The 17,475-nt window shown below is 37.4% G+C and overlaps 1 long non-coding RNA gene across 1 annotated transcript in view, besides 1 other annotated feature; it reads left to right on the top strand.

Moving 5' to 3' along the window:
* Nucleotides 1-8,744, top strand: part of LINC01787 (long intergenic non-protein coding RNA 1787) — a 120,057-nt gene extending 111,313 nt beyond the window's left edge. Inside the window, exon 6 of the long non-coding RNA NR_110693.1 lies at nucleotides 7,063-8,744. This is a non-coding gene — a long non-coding RNA (long intergenic non-protein coding RNA 1787). The remainder of the gene's footprint in view (nucleotides 1-7,062) is intronic.
* Nucleotides 2,924-3,564: an enhancer, noted in NCBI's record as "OCT4-NANOG hESC enhancer chr1:96724805-96725445 (GRCh37/hg19 assembly coordinates)". NCBI's record gives its function as "activates a minimal SCP1, AML or CMV promoter by ChIP-STARR-seq in naive H9 embryonic stem cells {active_cell/tissue: H9 hESC(naive)}" and the evidence as "EXISTENCE:reporter gene assay evidence [ECO:0000049][PMID:30033119]".
* Nucleotides 8,745-17,475: the final 8,731 nt, after the last annotated feature.

Here is a 17,475-nt window from a genome sequence, read left to right as displayed (position 1 = left end):
TTTTAGTTGATGCTTTAGGATTTATATTATATATCTTTCATTGATTATAGTGTACTTTCAAGTGAGATTATATTACTTCATGTAGAATAATTTTTCAATAGTGTAGTTACATTTCCCCTATGCTACTGTTGTTATATATTTCATTAATGCATGTTATAAACTCTCAATACAATATTATTATTTTTGTTGATATAGCCAATTACCTTTTAAAGAAATTTAAATATTAAAACTTTTTATATTTACCCATGTAGTTACTATTCTAACTGATGTTATTTTTCTTCTTCCTAGAGTACTTTATTTAAAATATATTTGGTGTAAATCTACTGGTGAATTCTTTCGGCTTTTGTATAGCCAAAAATCAATGTTTATTTTACCTTTGTTTTTGAAATGTATTTTTTCTTTTTTTTTATTATTATACTTTAAGTTTTAGGGTACATGTGCACAACGTGCAGGTTAGTTACATATGTATACATGTGCCATGTTGGTGTGCTGCACCCATTAACTCGTCATGCAACATTAGGTATATCTCCTAATGCTATCCCTCCCCCTTCCCCTCACCCCACAACAGGCCCCGGTGTGTGATGTTCCCCTTCCTGTGTCCATGTGTTCTCATTGTTCAATTCCCACCTATGAGTGAGAACATGCGGTGTATGGTTTTTTGTCTTTGCGATAGTTTGCTGAGAATGATGGTTTCCAGCTTGATCCATGTCCCTACAAAGGACATGAACTCATCATTTTTTATGGCTGCATAGTATTCCATGGTGTATATATGCCACATTTTCTTAATCCAGTCTATCATTGTTGGACATTTGGGTTGGTTCCAAGTCTTTGCTATTGTGAATAGTGCCGCAATAAACATACATGTGCCTGTGTCTTTATAGCAGCATGATTTATAATCCTTGGGCATATGCCCAGTAATGGGATTGCTGGGTCAAATGGTATTTCTAGTTCTAGATCCCTGAGGAATCGCCACACTGACTTCCACAATGGCTGAACTAGTTTACAGTCCGACCAACAATGTAAAAGTGTTCCTATTTCTCCACATCCTCTCCAGCATCTGTTGTTTCTTGACTTTTTAATGATCGCCATTCTAACTGGTGTGAGATGGTATGTCATTGTGGTTTTGATTTGCATGAAATGTATTTTTTCTAAGTGTAGAATCCTTGATTGGTAGGTTTTTTGTATTTGCTTTTACCATCAGTACTTTAATGATTTTTCACTTCCCTCTTTTTTTCTTGCATTGTTTTTGATGAGACATATGCTATTATTCTGATCTTTATTCCTCTGCATATAAGGATTTTTTTCTCCAGTTGCTATTAAGATTTTTTTATCATAAGTTTTTAAAAATAATTTGACTATAAAGTACTTTGGTATGGTTTTCTTCAAATGTCTTGTGCTTGGAGTGAATTGAACTTCTTGAATCTAAGTGCTTATAGTTTTCTTAAAAAAATTTTTTTGAACATCTTTAAGCCATTAGTTCTTCAAATATTTTTACTGTGTTTTAGGGAACCTTAACACTGGGCTGCTTGAAATTGTACAAATCCTTAATGTTCTTTTATATTTTTATTAGTTTTAGTTTGGATAGTTTCTATTACTATGCCTTCAAATTCATTAGTTTTCTATGACGTCTGATCTACCATTAATTCCATCCAGAGCACTGTTTATTTCAGATTTTGTAGTTTTTGCCCTTTGATGTCCAATTTGTGCCTTTTTTAATCACCACCAATAATACTGTTATAATTACTGTTTTAATGTCATTGTTAGCTAGTTCTAATATCTGTGTCAGTTCTGGATTGGTTTTAATTGGCTTTTCTCCTCATTATGGATTATATTTTCCTGCATCTTTGTATGCCTCTTACTCTTTGATTGGATGCAAGATATTGTGAATATTATTTTGTTCAATGCAAGATATTTTTGTATTCTTATAAACAATTGGTTACTAAGAAATAGTTTGATCCATCCATGTCTTTCTTTTAAGAATTTTAAAAAGAAGATTTACAATCTACTAAATGTAGGAGCAGGTCAGCATTCAGCATAGGGATAATCATTTCCCATTACTGAAGCAAGACCCTTTTGAATCACTCTACCCGATGTGCCATGAATTATGTTTTTCCAGTCTGGGTGATGGAAACAGGAACTGTTCTTGGTCTATGTGAACACTGAACATTGCTCTCTGTAATCCTCTGGGATGATTCTACCCATCCATGAGGAGTTTCCTCATACATGTGCACTGACTGGTACTCTGCTGAATATTTGAGGAGGACCCTTCAAGGTCTCTGGAGTTTTTTCTCTCTGTAGCTCTCTTTTTGCCAATATTCTCTCTGGCAAAATCTAGCCACTTTGTTTTCCTCACATTTTCATCTCTGTCTTCTCAGAGAGTTGACAGGTTTTACCCGAGGTTACTCTCCATGCACCATGGTTTCCCCAAACAATTAAGCCACTACACTGGGGAAATCAGAGCACATCTCACTTGCTTCTCATCTCTCTGGGTTTATTGCCCTTAGTTACCAGATATCTAGTGTCTTCAAAATGGTTTTATTGTATATTTTGTCTGTTTTAGTTGTTTCAGGCATGAATAGGTTCCATTTGTTCCCTCCTACTCTATCTCATTTTATAGCAAAACACTTATCCCCTTTTCAGGATACAAATTGATAACCTTATACCACTTTATACATCAATATGTCAACTTACAATGAGTCAATCCTATGTTTTACGATCTGTATACTTTGTGTGCACACCACGTAGAGTGTGGATCTCCCCATATGTTTTTCTGCTACTGGCTGGGTGTTTCCATCAAACAAATGAAAGGTAGTCCTTACTTGCAAAACTCTAAGAGCTCTTATTTTAATATGTATCAAGTGTTAACATATGGGAATTTAACGAAAGCTTAAAGGTTATGTTGGATTGCAGTATGCTTTCCAATTTTATGATAGGAAAATTGATGTTTCTTCCATTAATTTTTGTGAAACAAATTCTATCAGGTAAATCAAACCTCAAAATTTAAAGAGAAAAAATGGGGAATAAGAAATTAGGTCATGCCACAGTAGCTGTAAATTGTGGGAGAAAAATATCCTGATTGCTCAGCTCAAGTTTGAGCTTTAAATCTTTTACTAGCTTCTTAGCTTTGCCTGTGAAGTGCTGAGTCCTGGCAGGTGGCTCACCACAGGGACTTATCTGGGAACATTCAATTGCACAGAGAGCTACTAATCCCTGGAGGTTAATGGTGCAGACTGAACTGATTGTCTGGCATTACCCACAGCCCTAGGAAGCATTGTTTGGGACTCAGGACCAACTCAACGGGATGGAGATGGGATTGGAGGTATTGTCACCAGCCTGAAGCCCCAGAGGCACGCATAAAGTTAGAATGGGTTACTAAACTTGTCCTTAAAAACTGGAAAACAACCTTACATGATCGATTATCTTTCAACTATTTAAATAATAAGATTAACTAAAAAGCAGGCTACGTAAGTATGGAAGGAATAATCTACTAGAGCAATTATACTGTAAAAATTTCTCCCAAAGTAAGGAGAGTAAACTAGCTTGAAACTCTGTTAAGCAGCCTTCTTTGTTTCTCTTGCTATGTGGGAAATTCCTTGCAACCAACCATGTAGGAAATTTATTTGATGCCTCATATTTTCTCATGAAATTTCAGGAGCATTTTGTACTCTGCAGTATAATTTTTCTGTATGTGCTTTAATATAAAAACTATGTCTTCAATTACTTACTATTAAATTACTTAACTTGCCCTACTTCCAAATCATTGGATAAAATTGTAACTCCAGGAAGATGTGGTGCATTTATCTCATGGCATCCTGCACCAGCACACAACCACATCCCCTTAGGTGCATGCGTAATCTAATCTGAGAAGATCTTTGTGAGAATAAAGTGCATCAGGTCTAGGAAATACTCTTCTTTGTGCTTTGTGAGGGCAGTCTTAAGCCTAATCTTTAATAAAGGTGCACAAAAAAGATTTTTCAACTCTCTTACTGATTAAATTTTGCTCATTGATTTTTGAACTTTAAAGTTCTACTCACAAATCTCAATCTTATGTTTCAAAATAACAAGTAAAATACCAGCAGTATAATCTTTATTTATACTCTACTTGGACATGTGTGTGTGTTTGTGCATAGTCAAAGAAACATATTCAATGTATGTGTATTTCCTTAAAGAAAATTGCCACAGATAAACTACAGGGGTATTTGCTTTATTTCACTTTTATTTTCTGTTAAATGTCTCTCTCTTTAGCTTAGAAACTCTGAATATACATACGAGTTTCTGTAATATTTGTTGAAAGTCATTAAGGTTGCTTTAGTTAGGCAGATATCTATTTCTTTTTCTGTGTAAGACATAACCATATGAGAACCCTAGTGTCTCTGCAGCTGGTTCACTAGTTGAAAAGCTTTTTTTCATCCTTATTGGAGAAGTCGGATGAGTTGTTTTTTTTTTCTCTTGATAACTCTCCTATCTAGACACACTGCTCTATTCTTTTTTCCCTCCCCTCAAGCAGGATGGGAATGATTTTGTTTTTGTCTCTGATCATATTCTCCATCCCACAGTCATGCACCTGTAATGCCCTGCTCTGAGTTCCTGCTTCCCTGATCCCTGCAAACTATTCCAAGCTCAGCCTTGCACCTCCTCTGGACTCTCCCGTCCACCCATGTCAATGACTGTTTCCCTTGTGTGAATCTCAGTAGGAATTTTTGTTTGCAATTTTCATTTGACATTTTTACACTTATCAGGTTGTATGTTGTATTTTTAATAATTCTTTTGTGAATGTATATTCAATCTCTCCAACTAAGCTAATGAGTTCCTTGGGAGAAGTTGTCTATGTCTTGAATGGATTCCTTCCCTATCAGTTTTTAGTGACAATGCACAAAATAGGCATTGATAAATATTTGAATAATAAATTTTATAGTTTTACTATATATTTTAGCTTTGACAGAGGCTATGATGGCTGAGATTCAGCATCTGCTTCTACATGTTCATGCTAAATGGGAACTATTGACTGGACAATATGTCATTAATTGCAGACACGAAATGGGTTCTTTAAAAAAATACTAGTTTTCAATTTTGTGTAGAGACAAGGTCTTGTCATGTTGCACAGGCTGGTCTCAAACTCCTAGACTCAAGCAATCCTCCTGCCTTGTCCTCCCAAAGTGCTGGGATTATAGGCCTGAGCCACTGCTCCAGCATGGAATGTTTTTTTTAAAATCAGTCGAAGCAATTTTATATGATTTAGGCAGCTGTTTTTAAAAGCCACACAAAACTTTTATTTTTTTCTGACCTTGAAAGAGCATGAATATATACAAAAATATAACTAGGACATTTTATTGTTGAATTAAATTAATCTGTATACAGCCAAAAGTCAATTTAACTTTTAAATCTTTAATAATTCCTCAGTGAGTAGCATGAGGAAAAGTCATTTAAGAGAAGTTATTTGATCCCATGTTATATTTTCTCACATTGATTTAGTATAAGAAGTTTAACCAGACAAGGATTCCAACGTAAAGAAAGTTTGCAGGAGTACAGTTCTCCTGGATGTTTATATTATTTAAATATTAATTTCTCTCCCAATGCATGATTTGGCTGATGACATCATTCAACTATGTCAACATGTGCAGATTTTTTTTAGGAGGTTTTTGGAGGGGTTTTCTATAGGTCTTTATGCTTTTTCAGTACGAAACTCTAAGCATGCCATAAATTCAGGTTGCTGTGTCTTAGCACAGAGGGAGAACACCAGCATGGGTACTTAGAAGCATTTAAAAATATATCCCTTTCCCCTCTGTCTTTGTCGCGTATCTTCTCTTTAGCACCGTCCCTTAGAAATCAAGTTTTTAAAATAAAACTATCCAGACAGTGTGGAAAAAAAGAGAAAGCAGGTTAAAAAAATACAAGGCCAAAGTATGATGAGAAAAAGAAGCAGGTTATTTGAGAAAATTATTGAGAGGAGTGATGGGAAAGGAAGAGGCAGAAACACAAAGAATTTTGTGGGAGTTAGGAGTCAAGGTCTGAATACTGAAATTACTTTGGAGAAAATGGATAGAAGACTGGGTCAAATAAATATAGAAATTAAATTTTTTTTGAAGAGAGGTTTACTACCAATTTTTTTTGAAGAAAAGATCACTTGGTATCTTTCAGACTTGATGAAATTTCCAAGCTAACATCTTTATGAAAACCACAAGACAGGGATAAGAGAGAGGCTATGTGGCAATTTGTTTTTGTTTCAACTGCTTCTATGAAACGTGGGATGAGAAAAACTCTTCTGTTTGGATGCCGGGATACTAGTAATGTGTATTATCTTAACTCTTATAGCAGTAATTTCAAAGAAGATGAAGCCAAGGGATTAAGAAAAAAAAATGAGACATACAATAGATACTTGGCAGAATGATTTTAAACTTGCAAAAATAGTAATGTCATCTTATTTTTCCGTTGCTGGTTAATTTTGTCTGTGAAGCTTATGAAAGACAAACTGTCCACAGGAAATTCAATCCCTGTTGGACAGTTCTGGTTTTGCAGGGAGACAGTAAAAAATTGAAGCAAAAGCAGAACAAAAAGAATAACCAAATCTAAAATGTCATTAACCTTCCTCTTGGGTCTCATGAAGGAATTTTTCCTCCTTTTCTCAGCTTCTTATTAAAGGTCTGGGAGGTTGCAAAAGTTCCACCTTATGATGGTTCTTGCAGTTTGTAATTTCTTTGTTGACAGTGAAATTTTATCTTATTTCTTATTTACAGAATAAAAGAAATATTTGTCATGAGTTGGACTTGTCTTTATTTGCAGAGATTTTCTCCTAACCATATATTAGTCAAGACTCTGGCTGTAAATAAGAGAAACCAGTCTGAGCTACCTTAGGCAAAAAAGGAGAATTTATTGTATATAAATGCAGAGGTGACTCACATAACTCAAGAACAGAAATGCAAGTGGATCGCAATAGATGATGATAGCTAGGAGCAGGAAAGGGATCAGGAATCTGTTTATTGTCTCTAGTTTCCTCTATGTATCCTTTTATCTTCTTTCCATTTAAACATTCGCCTTCTATCTGTATGCCCATGTTCATTGCAGCATTGATCACAATAGCCAAGAAATGAAGCAATCCAGTATCCATCGATAAATGGATGGATAAAGAAAATGTGGTACATACATACAACGGAATATTATTCAGCCTTAACAATGAAGGACATCCGGACACATGCTACAACATGAATGGACTTTGAAGACATTATGTTAAAAGCAATAAGCAAATCACAATAGACAAATACTATATGACATATGATTCCACTTATATCAGGTACTTAGAGTAGTCACATTCATAAAGACAGAAAGTAGAATGGTGGTTTCTCCGGGGAAGGGAAAGAGAGACTAGGGAGCTGTTGTTTAATTTGTGAAATCAAAAGAATTTTGAAGATTGCTTGCATAACATTGTGAATATATGAACACTACTGAACTATGTGCTTTAAAATGGTTAAGTTAGTAATGAACTATATGCTTAAAAATGGTTAAGATAGTAAATTCTGTTATTTTACTGATGTTTTTTTCTCTTTCAAGTTTTATTTTAGAATCAAGGGGAACATACACAGGTTTGTTACAAAAGTATATTGTTTGATGCTGAGGTTTGAGGTATGATTGAATCTGTCACCCCATTAGTCAGCACAGTACTGAATAGGTAGTTCTTCGGCCTTCACGACAGTTTTTTTAAAAGTACACAAACAATTGTAGGTATTTAATTTGTTACTGTGCACATGAATATACTAAACAGGAAAAGGTCACTAAGCTGTGGATATACACATTGTTTACAGTTCAATGAGAATTGGCTTCTGTTGGCTAGCAATAAATGTCAAACTGTTCAACATTGATTAATCATGAAGGAATATTGCTTAACAAAGAATAAAATATCTTTCTGAGGTTACAAGCAACAACTAGCTTTCTCTGACTTACTGATTGACATGATGCAAAATGCCTTCCCAGCCTCAGCATCTGACTTATATGATATTCTAGTCACTTACAAAGATGACAACTGTATTAGTCCACTTTCATGCTGCTGATAAAGACATACCTAAGACCGGCCAACTTACAAAAGAAAGAGCTTTATTGGACTTACAGTTCCATGTGGCTGGAGAAGCCACTCAGTGGCAGAAGGACAAGATTTCAGGCACATCTCACATGGTGGAAGACGAGAGAAGAGAGCTTGTGTAGGGAAACTCCTGTTTTTAAAACCATCAAATCTCTTGAGACTTATTCACTACCACGAGAGCAGCATGGAAAAGACCTGCTCCCATGATTCAATTACCTCCCACTGGGTCCCTCTCACAACACATGGAAATTCAAGATGACATTTGAGTGGGGACACAGCCAAACCATATCAACAACAGTCTTCCAGATACTAGGTAAAGAAAATCTGACCCAGTTTGTTAAGGTATGTTTACTCCTTTATCTTACCTTATTGGAGGTAAGATAAAAGATAGGTAAGATCTTACCTTAAGATCAGGAAGGGTGGTTCATATAATACCAGTATGGCTTCCAATTGGTATACCCTTGTGGATCTGAGGGAAGAAATAAGAATGTCTGCCCCATAAGAAGCTAGGAGACAGATTTTGGAGTCCCTGAGTCCCTGAGACCCTGACTTGGTTACAACAGCCAGAGAGAACTGTGGGAATCCCTGAGATGGCAGCCTCATCTTAAAGGGTGATTACTAGAGATAATAAGGGGGAGAAGCCTTGGTGAGCATCCTGGACCATTTTGGTTCCAAAGAAAGAAAAAGGACCTAATGAACAAAAGGAATGATGAAAGCAGAAAGCTGAAAACCTGGTCTAGTTCTCACTAGATGTAAATGAAAGCAGAGGCCAGCGATGAGAATTCCAACATCAGACACATGTGGGGAGGTCAGAACTGAAAAGAAATTCTAGAACCAAAGAGCAAGAAGTTGAAGAGTTTGAGATAAATTGTGTCAATAAACCCAGATGAAATTCTGTCTGTTTAAAATAGCACCATGAATCACCCTAGCACATTTAAAGGGTATTGGCTCAAATCACTGCTTCTATTTGTTAGCTGCCAATTTGGTCAAAAACAATTTGCCTAAAACCAAACTAGTAAAAATGATAAAACATGACTATTCTTCTATAATTGGTTATTCATATATTATTAATGTGGAAATAATGTGGAAGGTGTTTAGAATTGTAATGGTTTGTTTTTTCCTTTTTCAGGATTTAGAAGATTTTTCTCCAGTTTTTTAAACTTCTGTTTTCAATTTATGATGCATTTTCATCCCATTATGTTTGCTTTTCTGATTTAGCAATACTTTTATGATTTTGTACCAAATTGCTCAAACCGACCTAGTCTAAATCTGTTTTAATTAGTCATTTGCTCTTTTGTAACAATTGTGTGTTCCAAGGAATCTGCAGAATTAAAGACGTGATGTGACAAAAGATGATTCTGAAGAATAAAGTTACTGGATATCGTTGAAGTTGTGTTAATCACCACATTGACTTAGAACATTCTGCATTTTTCATTTCAGTCATGAAGGCTTTCAACTATAAAGTTAATGTAGTGATTAACTGGATCAGAAAAGCTAGCATATATTTCTTTTCCTAGCTTTCTTCAGTGAAGTTACTAGGGGCCCAGAGCCAATTGCTATCAAGAGTTTTACCCATGAAACATTTATTCATTGTTAGGTCAACAAATTTTAGCCTAAGCTTATAGCTGTCTGAGAAGCCACACTGAGACTTTACATGTTTTTCATTACAGCTTCAATCTGACAGCAACCTTGAGTAGTAAAAATGCTGCTCTGTAAAATTTGCTGAAATACGTAAGAAATGTGCAACCAAAATGGAACACAAAATAGGATTAAGTAAATGAAGTTAACATCACTGGCTGAAAATGAATCTAAACATTTTAAAAAGTGAAATTATGTAGTAAGAAGTATAACATAAAAAATATGGATAAAAGTTCTAAGAATTATAACAAATTTCAAAATTATAAATAATGTTAACTGGCAGTTGGAAACATTGATTTTTAGAATAATTAACTTTAAGACAAATGAGCAGAGCAGACATAATTGACTATATGAATTAGAAACAAAAAAGAAAAGGAACCTTTGTTCCCCTGAAAATTGTGGGGAATAAAATGACAAAAAAGCTTAATTACTCATGAAAGCTAATAAAACTTCTTCAAGTGCATCAAAATTACTAAAATGAAAAATCTGTATTAGATGATTTTTTGACCAATTTATTCTTTCCAACACTTAGACTTTGAGAAAATTGTTTTAGGTCAACTTGTTTTTGACAATTCACTTTAAGTTCCTGGTTATTCTCAGCAGCCCAGTTCCATCTGGCATTCTTTTTCGTTAAAAGCAATTTTTTGTCAATGCAGTGAGAAGACTCACCCTTTCCCATTAGCTGTTGGAATAAAATTGGGGAGAGTATTCTTCTCAGGATTCATTAGTGGTTAGCAGTTAGGAGACACTTAAGATCATGAAGTCCAAACCTTGCTTTACAGTGAGGAAGCAGAAGCCTGCGCATATCAGGTATCTTGCCAGAAGTCATAGCAATGCACTGATACAAATAAAACTAGAGGTTAGAGCCCTTGCCTCTCCTGCAGTTTTAAATACTGGAAAGCAATGATGTGTTGTAACAATGGGTGCACTCTTTGGCTCAAATTTTAAGATATGACTTAAAAAATCATGATAATATCATTGTTCCCCATGCTAAGAAGGTGACAAATTGTTGTCCTGTCTGGGTCTATTAAGATATCAGGATAATAAAAACAAACAAACTCTTAAATAACACTGCACATCTGTCAGACACTATGCTAAGGGCTTTGCATACAATAACACGTTTAATCTTCAAAATAACACTAGGTAGTAGGTACTATTATTATGTCCATTGTGATAAATTGAATGCAAAATACCCTTTCACCCAGATAGTCCTATAACTGCCCATTTAGTATAACATTGTAGGTTCTTCTGTCAAGCAGTAAAGTCTGTTTTCTTAAACTCTGAATTTGAGTTGATCTGATTTGCATTGGCCAATAGAATGCAGTGGAAGTGATGTTGTACCAGTTCTGAGATCATGCCACAACTTGCATATTTCTGCTGTCTCTCTCTCAGATGGCTCCTGCCATAAGCCTGAGCTAACCTCCTGGTAGTTGAGAGACCACATAAAGGAGATCTGTCGCAGTCAAACTATCTAGAGTAGCTTCCATCCAGTTAACCTCAAAATATGTAAGAGAACCAAGCCAAGAGCAGCAGGTGATATAATTTATGCTTGTGAAGCCATATGGCATAGTGGTTTCAGAGCATGGATGCTGTACTCAGACTGTAGGCCCATGAATAAGCCCAACTGAGACCAGAAGAATCCCTGAGTTGAGACCATAAAAAATATCTAAAGAAACCAGGTAACTGTGAACAAGAATAAATGCTCTTTGTTTTAGGGCAACAAGTTTTGGGTTGGTTATATTACGTAGCAACAGATAGCAGGTTGTCAGCTATTCTTCTTTTAGAAATTTACAAAGTATAAAATAACTAACCCATGGTTCCGAAGCTAACAAGTAGCAGATCTGGGATTTGAACCTAGCAGCCTGACTGCAGTCTCCATGCTTTACAACCTGCTATCATCCATCCCATTAGTCTTGAATTGTTAACAGTAACAAACTGGAATAAGGAATTCCCATGTCTTTCCACTTGCAAATTTAAGTCTGATATCTATCTCTTCCTTATAAGGTTACATCACTCCCATTTCACTTCACTGAACGCCTTTTTCAATTATGATTCAAATTCTGCTTCCATTTATGCTGCTATTGGCTACAATGATAAACATCTTACCCATTCTAATTCATTCTGAACCCAGGGGAGATTCCAGTGAACATAGATGACAAATCTGCTATTGACCAGTTCATAATCACATTTTCTAACGGCTCTGCCTTCTTAGAAAATCTGCCACTACATGGCAAGTGTAGCATAAAAGGATGGTTACTCCATGTTTGGACCCTAACTTCCTAAACCATGTACCTCTTCACTATCTCATCATTTGTTTCTGTTTCTCTAAACCTCTCAGCCTTTTTGCTTATCTTAACATTGCTTCCTCACTTCGCCACTAAGATCCACGTACTTCCTCTTGGGTCAAATTCGTTTCACTGCAAGTGACTAAAATCCACTAGGTTGGCTTAAGCAGAAAAGGGTAATTCCTCTCAGAGTATTTCACAAAGCCCGGGGCAGAGATGCAGCTGGGCCTCCAAAAGGGACAGAGTCTGCTTCTTTCCAGGCTATATTTTTTTTCTCTATAGACCAGCTTTGATTGGATTGAATGATTGGAGCATATTGCAGAACACATGGAGCTGACATTTCCCAGTTTCCTAATAAAAACCCACCACTTCATCTGAGACTGAATTTCTTTTCCTTACTCTGTTTGGTTTAGGGACCAATCATCCCTGAAAAAAAAAACAATTAGGGTCAAAGAATGAAATAGGGAGAAAGGTCATCAATTGTCTCAACCATGTCATATACCACTTCTGGCCCAATCAACCTTGGTCATAAGGAAAGGATCACAGAATTGCTCTCAGGAGCACACCAATGTTACTGTGTGGATTTGGAGGCTCTTCTGGCTATTCTTAGAGAATGTGAGGATGGTTAGGTGAGGCAGCTTGCTAGATATCTACTATCCTGTCTTCCCCAGACATAATCTTAGCTATTCCTGGTTATGGCAGGGAAACCAGAATAATGTGGAGAAAAACAGAACAAAAGAAAAATGGTTTTAGGATTCTGATGGTCTGTGTTTGAATTTCAGTTTGTTCATCTGTGCAACAAGTGACAGATTGCTTTATATCCTTGGGTCTCAGTTTTATCTATAAAATAAGATTTATCAACCTCTTTAGATAAGGCATACCATACTTATCTTACTCATCTGCTAGGATTCTCTTTTGGTATTCACTCTTACATTTATGCTCCCTCTCAGGTCTTCTTTGTGAAACAGGAGGAGGCTCTGGACATTGACACAGAGTCAGTATTGCATACTTTAATATGGATGATGTGTAGTTAAATTTTTTTTTAATGAATTGAAGTTTCTCTACCCATATTGACAATACTTTGTTTACAGTTTTGTATTTGGTCTTTTAGCCCTTCCTTTGTTAATTATGACAACATTACGGTGAACCACATTACTCTGTTTTCTCCTGAGATTCCATGTATATATCCTACAATATTTTACTGTCTCAAATGTGTTCCATGCTCTTAGAAGGGAGGGGCACTTTTTCTGAGGTCATTTTTGTTCTCTCTGGCACTTGAACTTGGGCTAGCACATAGTAGGCATTCATTAAGCCCCTGTTGAACCACGATTACATTGAACATCAACTGTCGTATGTAAATGGATTGCTGATGGTCCACAAAGAAATCAATTGTGGTGTGTCACTGAAATAGGATTATCTTTTCATCAGAGCATAATGTTGGTTCTTTGATCTGGAGGAGTCTTTTTTCCTCTGACAAAGATTTAAGCACACTGGGTGCTTTCTTTCAATTAATGCTAATGGCAGGGTTTCCAATGAATACAGCAAATAAGAAGGATAAGAGACAAAGACAACTTCCAAAGCTACTTTTATTAAAAAGTAATCTGCAGCTTATCTTAGCTCTTTCAACATCTAATATCCAATGATGCTATTTGAATATTTTCCCCACCAGCATCCCTAAGGTTCTGAAGCCAGGACATCACTGAGCTTCACTCTTATTTCTGGCTCAGCAAAATGTGCTGCATGCACAACCGACTCGCCTCCTCCTCCTCCTCTATTCCCTCTTCTGTTGCTCTTTGCCACTTCTCCATATTTATGAGAGGGGAAGGATGAGGGGTGGCTGTCATGGCCTTATTATCTGTTTCTACCAAGTATGCCTCTGCCTTTTACACTCTCTCATTGTTTCTTTTTCTGCCAGCCCAAACCCCATTTTTGTGTGTACCAAGCTAACTCTGCCAGACTTTGGGGTTGACGACCTTAAATTGGAAAAGAGAAATACAAGCACATGCCAATACCACACGTATAATTGTGACAATCTGTCTTTCTGCACCTGAGACCAATATCTAGGCTTGCATTTGCAAAAATATGGTAGTTGCTTATCAGCTGTGTGAATTTGGCCAAGTTTCTTAACCTCTCTCAGCATCAGTTTTCTTGCCTATAAAATGGAGATAACAGTAACTACCACATAGGTATAATATTAAGAATAAAAGAAATAGTCATATACATCTGTTATAGTTTCTGGCACATTACTAAGCGCTCAAAATTTTTAGTTATGTCATTGTTATTATTATTAATTGTATTATTAGTCGTTAGCATAATGCTATTCCAAGAACGATCATTGAGTTTAATATAAATGAAAAATCCTGTGCAAAACCCTGTAGAAGATACTAAGATCCAATGAGATGGTTCCAAGTTTAAAGGAGATTGTAACCTGGTAGGGATGAGATATATATATATATATATAAACTAATCATACTATTAGGCAGAAGATAGTAAATGCTAGAAATAAGTTAAAATTCAAAATTAATGGTACTGAGCAATTAATCACAAGCAGTTAAATCTGGTAAGGCTTTATTGAGGAGGTATTATTTTAGGTAAACTTTGAAGAATAACATGGGATGAAGTAGATGAAGAGGGAGAAAAATCATTGCAGTTTGAGCAAACAGAAGGGAGTATAAAATGCACAGCCTATGCAAGAAATGTTAGATAATAATTTCCCATTCATAAAATATTTTATTGCACTTTTAGTTACTGATTTATTTTGGTAATAATTCACATGCAAAGAGAAAGGAAAGCACTGCAAGGAACATTCTGAAACAATGTTTTCAAAAGTATGTTGACTAAAAGAGATTCCAGGAAAAATGATTTTGTGGTCATGTATATTTTTATGTTTTAAAACATTTTGCTATTCTTTCAGGTTCTGTTAACAGTTTCCTCAATATTTGCAACTGAACCATGTGTATTAGTCAGGGTTCTCTAAAGGGACAGAACTAACAGGATAGATGAATATATGAAAGGGAATTTGTTAGGAGGATTGACTCACACAATATCAAGGTGAAGTCCCACAATAGGCCTTCTGCAAGTGGAGGAGTCAGGAAGCCAGTCCCAGTCCCAAAACCTCAAAAGTAGGGAAGCCGACAGTACATCCTTCAGTCTGTGGCCAAAGGCCTGAGAGCCCCTGGCAAATCATTGGTGTAAGTTCAAGAGTCCAAAAGCTGAAGGACTTGAAGTCTGATGTTTGAGGGCAGGAAGCATCCAGTATGGGAGAAAGATGGAGGCCAGAAGACTTAGCCAGTCTAGTCCTTCCATGTTCCTCTGCCTGCTTTTATCCTAGCCACTCTGGCAGCTGATTAGATGGTGCTCACCAAGATTGAAGGTGGACCTGCCTCTCCCAGTCCACTGACTCAAATGTTAATCTCCTTTGGCAGCATCCTCACAGACACACCCCGGAGCAATATTTTGCATTCTTCAACTCAATCAAGTTGGCACTCAAAATTAACCATCATACCATGGAACTCGTGCTACGTATTTTAGGGTATTGTTATACCAGCACCTCACTTTTTTCTTTTCAAAATCCTGTGTGACACAAAATAAGCTAAGTTATGCTGTAGTAACAAACAGCCTCAAAATCTGGCATACAATAACACAATATTGATTTCCCAATCATGAGTACCATATCGAAACAGATCAGTAATTTTTGTCAAGGTCAAGATGGCCAAATAGGAACAGCTCCGGTCTACAGCTCCCAGCATGAGTGACGCAGAAGACGGGTGATTTCTGCATTTCCATCTGAGGTACTGGGTTCATCTCACTAGGGAGTGCCAGACAGTGGGCGCAGGACAGTGGGTGCGTGCACTGTGCGTGAGCCGAAGCAGGGCGAGGCATTGCCTCACTCGGGAAGTGCAAGGGGTCAGGGAGTTCCCTTTCCTAGTCAAAGAAAGGGGAGACAGACGGCACCTGGAAAATCAGGTCACTCCCACCGGAATACTGCGCTTTTCCGACGGGCTTAAAAAACAGCGCACCAGGAGATTATATCCCGCACATGGCTAGGAGGGTCCCACGCCCACGGAGTCTCGCTGATTGCTAGCACAGCAGTCTGAGATCAAACTGCAAGGCAGCAGCGAGGCTGGGGGAGGGGCGCCCACCATTGCCCAGGCTTGCTTAGGTAAACAAAGCAGCCGGGAAGCTCGAACCGGATGGAGCCCACCACAGCTCAAGGAGGCCTGCCTGCCTCTGTAGGCTCCACCTCTGAGGGCAGGGCACAGACAAACAAAAAGACAGCAGTAACCTCTGCAGACTTAAATGTCCCTCCCTGTCTGACAGCTTTGAAGAGAGCAGTGGTTCTCCCAGTATGCAGCTGGAGATCTGAGAAGGGGCAGACTGCCTCCTCAAGTGGGTGCCTGACCCCTGACCCCCGAGCAGCCTAACTGGGAGGCACTCCCCAGCAGGGGCACACTGACAGCTCACACGGCAGTGTATTTCAACAGACCTGCAGCTGAGGGTCCTGTCTGTTAGAAGGAAAACTAACAAACAGAAAGGACATCCACACCAAAAACCCATCTGTACATCACCATCATCAGAGACCAAAAGTAGATAAAACCACAAAGATGGGGAAAAAACGGAACAGAAAAACTGGAAACTCTAAAAAGCAGAGCGCCTCTCATCCTCCAGAGGAACACAGTTCCTCACCAGCAACGGAACAAAGCTGGACGGGGAATGACTTTGACGAGCTGAGAGAAGAAGGCTTCAGACGATCAAATTACTGTGAGCTATGGGAGGACATTCAAACCAAAGGCAAAGAAGTTGAAAACTTTGAAAAACATTTAGAAGAATATATAACTAGAATAACCAATAAAGAGAAGTGCTTAAAGGAGCTGATGGAGCTGAAAACCAAGGCTTGAGAACTATGTGAAGAATGCAGAAGCCTCAGGAGCTGATGCGATCAACTGGAAGAAAGGGTATCAGTGATGGAAGATGAAATGAATGAAATGAAGCGAGAAGGGAAGTTTAGAGAAAAAAGAATAAAAAGAAATGAACAAAGCCTCCAAGAAATATGGGACTATGTGAAAAGACCAAATCTACGTCTGATTGGTGTACCTGAAAGTGATGGGGAGAATGGAACCAAGTTGGAAAACACTCTGCAGGATATTATCCAGGAGAACTTCCCCAATCTAGCAAGGCAGGCCAACGTTCAGATTCAGGAAATACAGAGAACGCCACAAAGATACTCCTTGAGAAGAGCAACTCCAAGACACATATTTGTCAGATTCACCAAAGTTGAAATGAAGGAAAAAATGTTAAGGGCAGCCAGAGAGAAAGGTCGGGTTACCCTCAAAGGGAAGCCCATCAGACTAACAGCGGATTTCTCAGCAGAAACCCTACAAGCCAGAAGAGAGTGGGGGCCAATATTCAACATTCTTAAAGAAAAGAATTTTCAACCCAGAATTTCATATCCAGCCAAACTAAGCTTCATAAGCGAAGGAG

Source organism: Homo sapiens, chromosome 1, assembly GCF_000001405.40.
Source record: "Homo sapiens chromosome 1, GRCh38.p14 Primary Assembly".
Taxonomy (NCBI): Eukaryota; Metazoa; Chordata; class Mammalia; order Primates; family Hominidae; genus Homo; species Homo sapiens.
Note: the sequence above shows the minus strand (reverse complement) of the source record. Positions and strands in the feature narration are given on the sequence as shown.